Source organism: Homo sapiens, chromosome 8 (genome assembly GCF_000001405.40).
Source record: "Homo sapiens chromosome 8, GRCh38.p14 Primary Assembly".
In the NCBI taxonomy this organism is placed as follows: Eukaryota; Metazoa; Chordata; class Mammalia; order Primates; family Hominidae; genus Homo; species Homo sapiens.
Genome location: NC_000008.11, coordinates 102,803,865 through 102,816,449, shown reverse-complemented (window position 1 = coordinate 102,816,449; position 12,585 = coordinate 102,803,865). Strand labels below are relative to the sequence as shown.

At 52.8% G+C, this 12,585-nt stretch overlaps 1 long non-coding RNA gene across 1 annotated transcript, besides 5 other annotated features; it reads right to left on the bottom strand.

Moving 5' to 3' along the window:
• Positions 2,422 to 2,471: an enhancer, noted in NCBI's record as "active region_27779". NCBI's record gives its function as "activates an Ori minimal core promoter by ATAC-STARR-seq in GM12878 lymphoblastoid cells {active_cell/tissue: GM12878}" and the evidence as "EXISTENCE:reporter gene assay evidence [ECO:0000049][PMID:35858748]".
• Positions 2,482 to 2,581: an enhancer, noted in NCBI's record as "active region_27778". NCBI's record gives its function as "activates an Ori minimal core promoter by ATAC-STARR-seq in GM12878 lymphoblastoid cells {active_cell/tissue: GM12878}" and the evidence as "EXISTENCE:reporter gene assay evidence [ECO:0000049][PMID:35858748]".
• Positions 5,228 to 9,420, bottom strand: GASAL1 (growth arrest associated lncRNA 1). The gene is made up of 2 exons (NR_149020.2): positions 7,897 to 9,420; positions 5,228 to 7,516 (listed from the first exon to the last, which is right to left on the bottom strand). It is a non-coding gene; the product is annotated as a growth arrest associated lncRNA 1 (long non-coding RNA).
• Positions 5,393 to 6,142: a silencer, noted in NCBI's record as "silent region_19446". NCBI's record gives its function as "represses an Ori minimal core promoter by ATAC-STARR-seq in GM12878 lymphoblastoid cells {active_cell/tissue: GM12878}" and the evidence as "EXISTENCE:reporter gene assay evidence [ECO:0000049][PMID:35858748]".
• Positions 7,582 to 8,208: an enhancer, noted in NCBI's record as "H3K27ac-H3K4me1 hESC enhancer chr8:103820470-103821096 (GRCh37/hg19 assembly coordinates)". NCBI's record gives its function as "activates a minimal SCP1, AML or CMV promoter by ChIP-STARR-seq in naive H9 embryonic stem cells {active_cell/tissue: H9 hESC(naive)}" and the evidence as "EXISTENCE:reporter gene assay evidence [ECO:0000049][PMID:30033119]".
• Positions 9,194 to 9,993: a silencer, noted in NCBI's record as "silent region_19445". NCBI's record gives its function as "represses an Ori minimal core promoter by ATAC-STARR-seq in GM12878 lymphoblastoid cells {active_cell/tissue: GM12878}" and the evidence as "EXISTENCE:reporter gene assay evidence [ECO:0000049][PMID:35858748]".

Below are 12,585 nucleotides of genomic sequence, written 5' to 3'. Positions count from 1 at the left end.
GCAGAAGGTGTCTTCCTGGCCTCTGAAGTCATTTCGCCCTTAGGTAAGCCCTTGGGGACACTTGCACCATGACTTAGGAGCCTGGCCCTTCCAGAGGGTGTGGCTGTTTTGCAACCCTCCAGTGACCTCTCCTCTAGCAGAAGGTGAGCCCAGGGTCCAGGCTCCTGGCCCAGCCAGGGCCTGAAGCCATGAGATTTCTTTAATTCGAATGACCCCTTTTTTCCTCAACATCTTCATCTCTTTCTCCCATAACTCAACCCGAAACCATCAACCAGAGGCCCATCACCCAGTTCTCTCCTTCCCCTCTCTCAGCCTCAGCCTGATGACAAGGCACAAACGGCCCGGCCAGGGTCTGTACCTAGGGTGGGCAGAGCCCATGCCTGCTTCCAGATCCTGGCAAGCTCCACCCTCCCACGTCCTGCCTGGACTATTTCAGTAGTTTCAACTGCTGTCTCTGCCACCAGGATCTCCCCTCAGACCACTATCCTTGTGGCTGTAGGGTAAGCTTCTGAAACTGGCTGGATTAAGTTGCTAACCTGCGTTAAACTCTCCCTTCACAGTCTTGTCTGGAGTGTGACTGGGGTTGAGCTTTCCAGGCTCTGGTTGGCCTTCAAAGGGAAGCATCCCGCAAGATCCCTCAGCCCCTCTGAGTCCTTGACTCCTGTACAGCACAGCCCGATGGGGGCTTTAACTCTCATCCATCCATTCATTCGTTTATCCAGCCAACGAGTTTTTATTTGGTTTAATATTTAGGTGCCAGGCACTATCCACGATTCTAGCACTAGGACAGCAGCAAACAAAATAGCCCCAATTCCCTGCCGCATGGCACTTCTATCCCTGTGTGCTTCAAGAGCCTTCCAGCTGGGTTCTTGGTTCCACCTGAGAGATAGGCCTGCCCCACTCCATCACAACGGCTGGCACCGCAGGCGATCCGACACATTAGGTGAGACTGTCTCTTCATATCCCTCATATCTGGGATGCTACGCTGGGCAGGCATCAACAGCTGTAATGCCCACGCAACCCCAGTCACTTACCAAGCAACCACAGCTTGTTCTGTGCCCCAAAAATCCCCAGCTCTGGCCGGGCACAGTGGCTCACGCCTGTAATTCCAGCACTTTGGGAGAGCGAGGAGGGGTGATTGCTTGAGGCCAGGGGTTTGAGACCAGCCTGGGCAACACAGCAAGACCCCATCTCTAATATATATATATAAGATTATACATATATGTATAAGATTATATATATATGATTTTACATATATATAGATTATATATTAGATTATATATATGATTATATATTAGATTATATATATGATTATATATATATATTAGATTATATATATATTATCTGCAGGGATCTATTTATATATATTATTTATATATATTACATATTTTATATATATATACAAAAATAAAAAATTAGCCAGGCATGGTGGGACATGCCTATAGTCCCAGCTCAGAGTTCCCTTCGAGGCTTGTTTTCTACGCTGCAGAGCAGAATGCCCGAGGCAATTAGGCTGAATGCTGTCCCTGGCAGATGTGGCTGGCTGGCCATCTTGGTCCTAGACCTCTGGGCACCGAGTGTAGACTTCTCACCCGGCAGAGCTGCCGCTCAGAGCTCAGGGCTTGGCCGACACTGACAGATTGTACCACTAGATGACGCTTGTGGATTACATTTGCTATAGTGCCTTGGAAGTTGCAGCAAACAATTGCTGAGTTTCCCACTGTTCAGAGTTGATTTCACATAGTATTAAGCTTTTATGTTCTATCACACTTCTGAGTGTCACAAGTGTCCCCGGTTCCCTGACCTTTGCATCTCTACATCCCTGCCCCTAGTCCTTTGTGGAGGAGCCAGGAGGAAGAAGGGATTCCTGCCTCACTTTCCCTCCCGTTTCCAAAGCCCTCCTCCCCCAACCGCCCTCCCCCTCCCTCAGTAGCAACAGCCTTTGACTCTCCAAGTCCCCAGCAAAGTACAGTACAGGCTGGCAGTGGGGATTTGGGAGGATGTTCCAGAAGACCCCAGCTCAAGTGTAGGGATTGTTAAATGTTTAGTTCAAGCCATGGCTGTTCCAGGTGGGCCACCAACTCCTTCAAGTCGGAGACGTCAGGCCCACTAAGGATGTGCCTATGGCCACAAAATGCCAAGTTTGCTTACTTTGATGCATCAAAGGAACCCACATGTTGGGTGAGCCTTCGGAGCCACTCAATAAAAGGGTTAGGAAGGGTTTTTTGTAGGGTCAGGTTGTTGAGGTGGGCTTACCTGGTTAGGGTTGGTTGGTTGGAAGAAAGGGGGCCTTGGCTGATTCATTCAGGCTCAAAGCAGGGATCTTTTTATCTGTAGGAGGCAGTTCCCCTGTGGCTTTGAGAAACATTGCTTTGTGACTTTGTGGGTCTATTTTTGTGTTTTAGAAGTTAAGATCTTGAGGTGGCAGTCAACTGGTTTCTCAGAGACCAAGTCTTAAACGTGCTTGTAACCCACAGTGAGTCCAGCTGGGTGTTTTGCAAGCAAATTTTTTTGTTTGTATAGTTTTTTTTAGCAATGGGGTTTCACTATGTTTCCAAGGCTGGTCTGAAACACCTGGGCTCAAGCCATCTTCCCACCTCAGCCTTCTGAGTAGCTGAGACTACAGGCACATACCAGCTACAAGCAGGTTTTGAATGTGTTTTTTTCTCCAAGAAGCTTTCTGATTTACACCTAAGATAGGGATTCACCAATTCACCAACGTGAGACATTGCGTCTCTGTCCTCCACCTTCCTAAGATACCTAGCTTTGTGCGTGTGTGTGTGTGTGTGTGTGTGTGTGTGTGTGAGAGAGAGAGAGAGAGAGAGAGAGAGAGATGCATTTATCCTCCCCGTTTGCAAGTGAATTTTCCCATGAGGTATCACCCTTTGGCATAGTCCTCCATTTGGACTGGGTGAGGTGGCGCTTCCTTTTCTTTGTCTTACACTGAGCTTTGACATTAGAATATTTTGTCCTTTGGCCCCAACTTTACTTAATTTGATGACACTCCCTCTGCAAGGGTCATTATGCTTCTGACCTCTCTCTGCCAGCCCAAACCCAGTCCAGGCCAAGCCTGTGGTCATGGTATCTGTGACTATGATCACATCCCTTCCTGTTCCTGTTGGCTATCACAGCCTCATTCTTGGTACTGGATAGCTTCCAGCTGTCCTGCCACCCACCATCCACCCTGCTCTGCACCTGGAGGCTGATGTTCACAGACTGCCTCAATGCTTCCCCTGCCTCTTTGCTTTGTGGTCAAGCAAAGTGGAGCGGAGAAGCCTGGGGGAGGATAGTGGGGTCAGGGTAGTCCTTCCTGGGCTCATTTCCTGTCCAGTTGCCTCTGGCGGGCTGAATCTCCCAGCAGAGGCTGGAGCCCTTGAAGGGGCCCTGCACCTAGCTTGCCCTCTCTCTCTAGGTCTGGTTAACCGCTCCCTCCTCTTGCCTTTCCCCTTTGGCTCCCGGGAACTGGACCATCCCCTGGCTATCCTACACCTTGTCCACACCCTTGAGCATGCCACCTGCTCCCTGTTTTGACCCTGCTGACAGGTCTTTTCAGTCTCGCTCTTCTCCCAGGCTGGAGTGCAGTGGTGAGATCTCAGCTCACTGCAACCTCCACCTCCCAGTTTCAAGTGATTCACCTGTCTCAGCCTCCCAAGTAGCTGGGATTACAGGCTCCCACCACCACGCCTGGCTTTTTTTTTTTTTTTTTTTTAGTAGAGATGGAGTTTTGCCATGTTGTCCAGGCTGGTCTTGAACTCCTGACCTCAAGTGATCCATTTGCCTCAGCCTCCCAAAGTGCTGGGATTACAGGCGTGAGCCATCACCCCTGGCCTGCATCTTTTTTAGATCCCCACAGCCTAGCACAGAGCCTGGCACATAACAGATGCTCTGTTGGATGGGCAAACTAACACCTCCCCCTTTCTATGATTCTGGTTCTCTGGGGCTTGTCCTGAGATGGGATAAACAGAACTCCACACATGACTCCAGGGGAGGCAAACAGGATAGAGTATTCATCATTCATTCATTCATTCATTTATTCATTCATTCATTCGTTCATCCAACACATATTTATGGAGCACCCACTCCATGCTGAGAGTACTATGGTGAGCAAACCAGACAGGGTGGTTTCCTGAGAGAGACAGGCATGGATGGGATTAACATAAACTTGTGAGACTACAGCAGTCAGCTTTGAAGGAGCAAAACATGGTGCTACAGAACATGTGATGGGACTGAGCATGGTGGAGAGTCACCTTATATGCGCACTGTGAATAATTCTAAATCCCAAACACATCTGGCCTCCAGATTCTTGTTAAAGAGGCCAGTGGGGCCAGGCGCGGTGGTTCAGGCCTGTAATCTCAGCACTTTGGGAGGCCAAGGCAGGCGGATCACCTGAGGTCGGGAGTTCGAGACCAGCCTGACCAACATGGAGAAACTCCGTCTCTACTAAAAATACAAAATTAGCCAGGTGTGGTGGTGCATGCCTGTAATCCCAGCTACTCGGGAGGCTGAGGCAGGAGAATCACTTGAACCCAGGAGCCAGAGGTTGCAGTGAGCCGAGATGGGGCCATTGCACTCCAGCCTGGGCAACAAGTACGAAATTCCGCCTAAAAAAAAAAACAAAAAAAGAGGCCAGTGGACCATCCATCTCTCACATATTCTCATTGAGGGGGTCGGGGCATCATACTAGCACATTTAAGTATGCTAAAAATGATGGTCCTACTGTGTAAAGCATGATTCCATTTTGGTAGAAACAACAAATGGTTTTTGAGCACCCAGACAACTACCAGTGTTCCAGGCACTGAGGATAGAGCAGTGAACAAAATAAGGCCTCTGCGTTCACAAAGCTGACAATATTGTATAATTTATTAATTTATAAATTAATTTATTAATTTATAAATTAATTAATTTATTAATAAGGCCCTGCTCTGTCACCCAGGCTGGAGTGCAGTCGTGTCATCATAGCTCACTGCAACCTTGAACTCCTGGGCTCAAGCGATACCCTAGATCATCTCGTCTCAGTCTCCTGAGTAGCTGGGCTTACCAGCATGAGTCACCACCGGCCTTTTTTATCCTCTAAAGAATGCATACATGCATAGATTTGCAGATAAGAAGCCCTGGAAAGACAGACACGAATATTCTAAGTGCTTCTTTCTAGATAAAGGTATGATGAGTGATTCTTTTTCTTTTTTCCTTCTCCACATTTCAAAACTGCAACGCCTATGACACATTATTGAATTAGGTTTTTCTTTCTTAGTTTATTTCAATGTATTAATTTTTTAAAATTGACGAATAGTAATTAGGCATATTCACAGTAACACAGTGAGGTTCCGATTCGAATTAAGTTGTTTTTTTTTTTTTTAAGTGGATGGTGGTCTTTAATTAGTCTCATGCAGTTCTCAACCCACACCAGCAGAGAGCGCTGTGCCCGCAGGACTCGGGCGGGGCCGTGCCGCGCTTTTCTCCCCAGCAACACCCGCCCGCGCACAGCCCTGGAGGCGCGGCCTCGCGGCATCCCCGGCCACGCCTCACCCCGCCCTGCCCCCGCTCGCCGAGCGCCCGGCAGGGGCGGTGGTTGCGGCGCTGCGACTCGCCCGCGCCTCTCCCCGGCCGACCTGGGCGCAGCGGGCGGGGCCCGGGCAACCCGCCCTCCCCTCACCTCCTTGCCCCGCCCTCCCCGCGCCCTCCCCGCCCTCCCCGCGCCCTCCCACCCAGCGCGGGGTCGGCGCGGCTGCGGCTGGCTCTTACTTTGGGGCCGGATGGGGAGACGTGACTGCCACGGCTCGGGCTGCGCCGGGAACAGGCGCGGGGGTGGGAGGGGAGGCCGGGCTTCGGGGCACCTGGCGGTCGAGGCGTTTGGAGGGGGCAGCGGTCGGGCCCCGCCCCCAGCACCGCGTTCCCAGGCGCGGGGGAAGGGAAATGGGCGCCTCCCTGGCGCTCGAATCCTGCCTGGGCCTCGGCGAGTGCGCGCCAAGCCCGTTCCTTCCGTTCCCTGTCCCGCCGCGCCCGGGCCGCTCCGCAGCAGGGAGAGCCCGGCCTGGGACGGCGGGCGGGTTCCCCTCTGGTGCGCAGTAGGTTGCCAGGGCCTCTTTTCGAGACCAGGTGAAGAATTTGTGGGTTGGAGTCAGATCCATTCACAGTTCAATCCTGGTGGTGTTTCTGTCCAGTCTCAGTTTCCTGATCTGTAAAATGGGAAAAGGAGTATCTTTCCTTCTAGTAGTCCCACGGGCTGTCGCATCAGGAAGCTTGTGACCTACAAGGAGAGGTGACAGGGAGAATCCCAAGAACAATTACCAGGCTTTGTCTTTCTGCCGCCAGTGGCTAAGAAGGAGCAGCACTGTCCAGCCCGCCATCTAAGAAGGGGCCATTTCTGGACCCTGCTCTGTATTTCCAGAGGCTGTTGACAATCGCCTTCATTTTCTTTTTCTTTCTTTCTTTCCTTCTTTCTTTCTTTCTCTTTCTTTTTCTTTTCTTTTTTTTCTTTGACGGCTAAATAGTACTCCATTAGTATAGATGTACCACACTTTCTTTTTTGACAGAGTCTCACTCTGTTGCCCAGGCTGGAGTGCGATGGCTTGATCTCAACTCACTGCAACCTCTGTCTCCCGGGTTCAAGCGATTCTGCTGCCACAGCCTCAGGAGTAGCTGGAATTACAGGCATGCGCCACCCCACGCCCGGCTAATTTTGTATTTTTAGTAGAGACGGGGTTTCTCCATGTTGGTCAGGCTGGTCTCGAACTCCTGACCTCATGTGATCCACTCACCTTGACCTCCCAAAGTGCTGGGATTACAGGCGTGAGCCACCGTGCCTGGTCAATCGCCCTCATTTTCTTGCTAGGAAATACCCTCCAATAAATACTGGGTACACGTCACAGAATTTTCTTTCCGTGGTGGGATTCAAAGGGAGAAAAGTGCAGGAGTATTCCAATAACATGCTTTCTCTCTGGGTTTAAAGCCCACACCCCCAGGATTAGGCGCGGCTTTTGTAGGACTCTGATTCCCAGGCTTAAGCAGAAAAACACAGAATCCTAGGCTCTTAGCGCTGAAAGTCAGAGAGGACTTGCCCTACCACTTTTAACTGCTGATCTACAGATTTCAGCTATATGGTGTGCTGGTTGCTGCTTCAGCAAGTTATTACATGTCTCTCAGCCTCAGTTTTCTCACCTGTCATATGGGAAAAACACTGCCTGGTGGAGAAGGGTCTGGTGCTCTGCTCGGGAGTCTCCTGTTTTCACAGAGCTTCCTGAGTCCTTTAGGCAACATTGTCCTTTGTCAGGAAATTCTTCCTATTGTTCTCTTAGACCCTCTAGCCTCAGGGCCGTATTTCTGCTTTTCAGTCTTGGAAAAGGATAGCTGGTCACCTCCTTGGTAACCGATGTCATTTCCCTTGCAGCAGGGAGGCCAAGTTCCTCAGCCTGACTTTCCCTCTTCTGGGTCCTCCTCTATGAACCCTGTAGATCCAGGAGGTGGGGATGGTCAGATGCTGAGTGAGGAGTGGCAAGGCCCAGACTCGGAGACTCTCCTAAATTTGTGAAAAGAGTTATTAGCAAAACAGGAGGAAGGGAACAGTCACTGAAAATTCTCCCCATGCTGAGCACTGCTAGGGGATTTATCTCAAGACTCCCAACAAGAACCTTTGGGGCCAGGAATCATCACCTCTATTTTCCCAGAAAGCAGAGGACCTGTTCCCCAGATCCCCCATCTGGCCATGGCTGGGCCTCCTCCACCTCTGAGGCCCAGCGTTGCAGAGGATGGTGACACATCCGCCTTGGGGCCCCCTGCAGGGATGTGGGGTTGATGAGAACTGGCTGCAGTGCCTCGTTCTCCCACCAGTGAGGTTTGTGGTGGTTATCACTAGCTTCAAAGGTCAGCTGGCTCTTGGGAAACAAATAGAAGCCTCACCCTCCCTTCCCGTTGGAAACTTTGGCCTCAGCTGCAGAGTGGATGCCTGGGAGAGGCTGCAACATCCAGCCTCAGGGAGTCCAGCTGCCCCTGGAGGTCTGCCAAGGCTGTTCTCAGGGTTTGTCCCAGTTGGGTCTGAAGGCCAGGAGGCTGCACTCTTCTGTGGCGGTCTGACCTGGACACTCCCTGGTGACCATCTCCATCAGTGGTTCTCCTCTCTAACTGCTCATTAAAAGTCTGCTGATGCCTGGGCCCCACCCCAGACCAATAAAATCAGATTTCCTGGAGGAGGGCCATGCATCAACATTTTTCTTTTTTAAAGCACCCCTAGATAATTTCAGAGTGCCGTCAGGATTGAGGGATGCTGATGTAGATAAACATAAACGTTAGTGATCAAAGGACAGAATAGGAAAAATATTTGAAATCTGGATGAAAGAGGATCTGCATTAGACAGCAGCCATCCAAGGCCAGGAGGCTTGGCGGCTAGGATTGAGCAGGACTGTGGAATTCTTGGAAGGAATTCATCTGTCTGGGAACTGGCATGACTCGGTTCCCCAGGGGCAGCGGGCGGAACCCCGTGACTCCAGGTCCTCGGTCCTCCTGGGCCACTGTGCCTGCCTCTGTGGTCTGCATCTGGGCCGTGATGCGCCTCTGAGCCTCAGGTCTTCCAGTCAAACTGGACTCCCTGCCATTCCGAGAACGCAGTCTGCTCTTTCCTGCTTCTCGGTTTGGGTTTCAGGCATTTGTTTCTGTCTGGAATGTCTTTTCCGATCTGTTCAAATCATTCCTTTTCAAGGTCCCTGCCCTACTGCCAGCTCCACCAGGAAGCCCTCGCCACACCTTCTGCATGTGCCTGTACTCCACAGCGCCCTCCTGCGGCACTGCCCAAGGTGTGCCCAGACTATAAATGCAGAGGGTGAGGACCAGTCAAATCCCCTCCTCCACCTGTCCCGGGGGCGGAAGGCACGTGCACAGAGGAGCCTCCCACCTCTTTTGAATGCCATGGACTGTGTCCGTGTTCCAAGACAGGGTGGAAGCCTCTTCTCTGCCCACACCCCTTCCTGATAGTTCTCCAGCCCCCCTGCCGCATTTCCTGAGTGCCACGGCGCCTTGTGGTTAGCAGTCAGTGACAGGGAAGCGCTGGGACCAGGCCTTTTTACCCAGCACGTGGTGTCTACAGTGCCAGTGGAGCCTCCCCCGGAGAGGGTCGGCATAGAGTGGGGTGGGGAATGAAAGCTCTTCCCACAGACAGACCCAGAGTCTTAAGGGGAAGGGGAAGACCCCAGCGACCTCCGGTGTCACCGAGGCCCGTGCTGGTGCTCAGGAACCGCCTTCTCCCAATAACGCAGCGCGAGCGACACGGGGCGGGGGCGCCTCGGGCGCGCTGGCTGGGGGCCCGCGGGGCGCCGCTCCGCAGTGGAAGGGGGCAGACTTCGGAAGCGGCCGCCGGCTGCTGGGGGTGGGAGACTTGCTCCCTCCTTCAGTCGCCCGCCGTCAGCCCGCGCTGCAGGTGACCTGGTCAGTGCCGATCGCCCCGCCCCCGCCCAGCCGTCTCCGTGGGGTTTTCCGGCTCTGCGCGCCTCAAACGACCTCGGCTGCCGCCTGCCCGGCAGCTCCCCGCGGTCCCCCACGTTCCCCCGCCCCCCGGGCCGCGCGGCAGGCCTTTCTGATGAGTCAGCGGGAGCCCGGGAGCCTCCAACCGCCCCGGGCATCTGCTCCGGTGACGCACCCTGAGTCACGGGCGCCCGGGCCGCCGCCGAGGCCGAGCGCGCAGCCGGGAGCGCCGAGCGCAGCCCCTACGCCTGCCGCGGGCGCCCACCCAGCCCGGCCCGGCCCCGCACCCTTCCTCCCTCGCTCCCAGCGCCGCCCGCCCTGCACTCCCTGGCCCAGCTCCAGGCTGACATCAGACGCTGGCCGCCCGGCCACCCTCTGAGTCAACAGTTTCCGAAGCAGAGCCCGCTGCCAGGGGCGGGGAGAGAGCGCGGCCTCCGGGGGAGGCGGGGGCGGGCACCGGTCTGGCAGCCGCGGGAGGGCGGAGGTGGGTGGGGACGCCGGAGCCTTTTACAAGAAGTCACGGGGGATGGGGGAGAAGAGAGGGCGAAAACCACCCTCTGCAGAGCTGCCGGGGCGGAGAGGAAACCCGCCGCCCCACACAGCCACGTGCTGAAGCCCTCACTGAGTGGGTGGCTGGGAAGGGAACCCGAGGGCGGGAGGAGGGGGAGGCACTTGCTGGGAAAGGCCCTGGGCCAAGTTTCTGAGGGAGGAAAAGAACCACCTTTGGACACCCTGGGTCCCAGGGGCCCAGCAGATATTTGTGTCTGGATAACAGGGCCCCACCCAGTTCCCTTTGATGGGAGCAGCTCTGGCCGAGCCCTACTCTTGGGGACTGGTGCTGCCTGCTTGGGGTCCGACTTGAAGAACTGCACTGACCTAACCTGACCCCCTCCCTTGACCACAGACCCTGTCACCATCGTGGGATGATGGGGTTGGAAGGATGTATGTCTGAGGGTAAAGGAATTCAAGAGCCCCAGTCCATTGAGAGTCACCTTCCTCGCTGTAACAAGGCTGGGCACTATGGTCTGCCCCTGAGTTGGTGCTGGGTAACCACTCTGAGAGGCTGCATCTGTGGTTCTAGAATGCTCAAAGTGAGCAAGAGACCCTTAAAAAAAGCATCTACCTGCAGGGGGACTAAGTGGCTTCTAGAAGCTTCTTTAACCCCGCAGATTTCCCTGATCACGTCAGGCAGGAAGGAAGGGTGACGTGGAGCCAGGAGGACAGAGTAAGGCAGTAAGCATCCACAGGTGCTTGGATTTCCTTCCCTCCACCCCATCGCACCCCGCCCACCCATGCCATGCCCCCCAGGATAGCAAGACAGGGCTGTCATTGGTGGGCCTCCGGCTGGAATTCACGCTCAGCTTCTTTCCGGGATTTGAACTTGTTGTTCTTTCCAAAGCCATGGTTCAATAAATGATGCCAACCTGGGAAGGGGAGGTGTCTTTCTCATCTTGCAGGCAGAAGCGGCATAACAGCTGGGTGAACAGAACCGGTCTGGATCTGTCCAGAGCTATTTGTCAGCACAGCTTTGCAGAAACTATGTGAGCGTCTCCTTGCTCCATATGACCCCCATTCAAACTCATGCTGAGAAAGAGCTCCCAGTCCACCTCTGCTGGGGCAGTCTTTTCCCAAGTGTGACTTTTCCAAGGGTGGGTGGTTCATTTCTGCCAATCTAACCCAGCTCAAAATAGCATTGAATCAGACTTCTGGGAAGCCCTGTGCTCCAGGCGCCTGTAGAAAAGAGTTAAAAATGACATCTCTTGGGAAACCAGGGGGTCTAATTTTGCTGAGGTGGGACAAGATGCAGAGCCCTGTGACATCAGAGGGAAGAAATAGTGGCCAGGGATAGGTCTGGAAAGTGTGAGTGGTGGAAGGTCCTGTGCTTTATGTGGTTGCCCTTTGGGAAGTCCGTGGCCTGGCCCAGTGGGGGGCAGGTATCCTGGGAGCTAAGGCCAGGTGTAGGAGGGGGCTGTGGCTTAAGCCACAAACTCCACAACCTCCAACTTCCACATTTTCCTTCAGGCTGAGAACCCGAACTGTCTCAGTAGGGGTTGACTCCTCCACCGTTTCTAATTCTGATTACTTACGCTTTTGGCTTGGGCCCAGCTGGATTGCCACCTTTATGAAGCTTTTCTCATGAGTTAACTTGACCCTTGGCACTTCCACTACAGCCTTTACCATGCTTTGCCTGCTTTGAGAGGCTTTGCTTTATTCGGCTTTCCTCTCCACCCAGCAGCCCACTGGGAGGCAAGCACTCCATCCTTGCCACTCGTTAGTGGAACTCCCAGGGAAACAAATGAGCTGTCGGCTCTTCTGTCTTCTGCCCCCACGTTTGGTCTCATAGGCTTCCTTTGTGTCTGATGGGGCTTCCTGTGTGCTGTCTCTGCTTCCAAGACAGCCTCATCTTGGGTTTTGACCCTATCTGCGTTTTTTTTTTTTTTTAAGGAAAACAATTTTTCTTAGTTCAAATAGAAATTAGCTTAGATTTTAGATTTGATCATTTTCTAGATTTTTTTAAATTTATGGGTACATAGTAGGTGTGTATGTTTATGGGGTACATGAGCTATTTTGGTATAAACATACAATACATAATAATCATATCAGGGTAAGTGGAGTATTCATCACCTCAAGCATTTAATCTGTTCTGTGTTACAAATATTCCAATCATACTCTTTTAGTAGTTTTTGTTTGTTTGCTTGTTTTGTTTTGTTTGAGACAGAGTCTTACTCTGTCACCTAGGCTGGAGTGCAGTGGCATGATCTTGTCTCACTGCAGCCTCTGCCTTCTGGGTTCAGGTGATTCTCCTGCCTCAGCCTCTGGACTAGCTGGGGCTACAGGTGCGCACCATCACGCCCAGCTATTTTTTTTGTATTTTTAGTAGACACAGGTTTCACAATGTGGGTGTTCTCTTGACCTCGTGATCTGCCCGCCTTGGCCTCTCATTTTTTGTATTTTTAGTAGAGACGGGGTTTCCACATGTTGGCCAGGCTGATCTCAAACTCCTAGCCTCAAGTGATCTGCCTGCCTGCCTCAGCCTCCCAAAGTGCTGGGATTACAGGTGTGAGCCACCACATCCGGCCTTCTTTTAGTTATTTTTACATGTATGATAAATTATTATTGACTGTAGTCATCCTG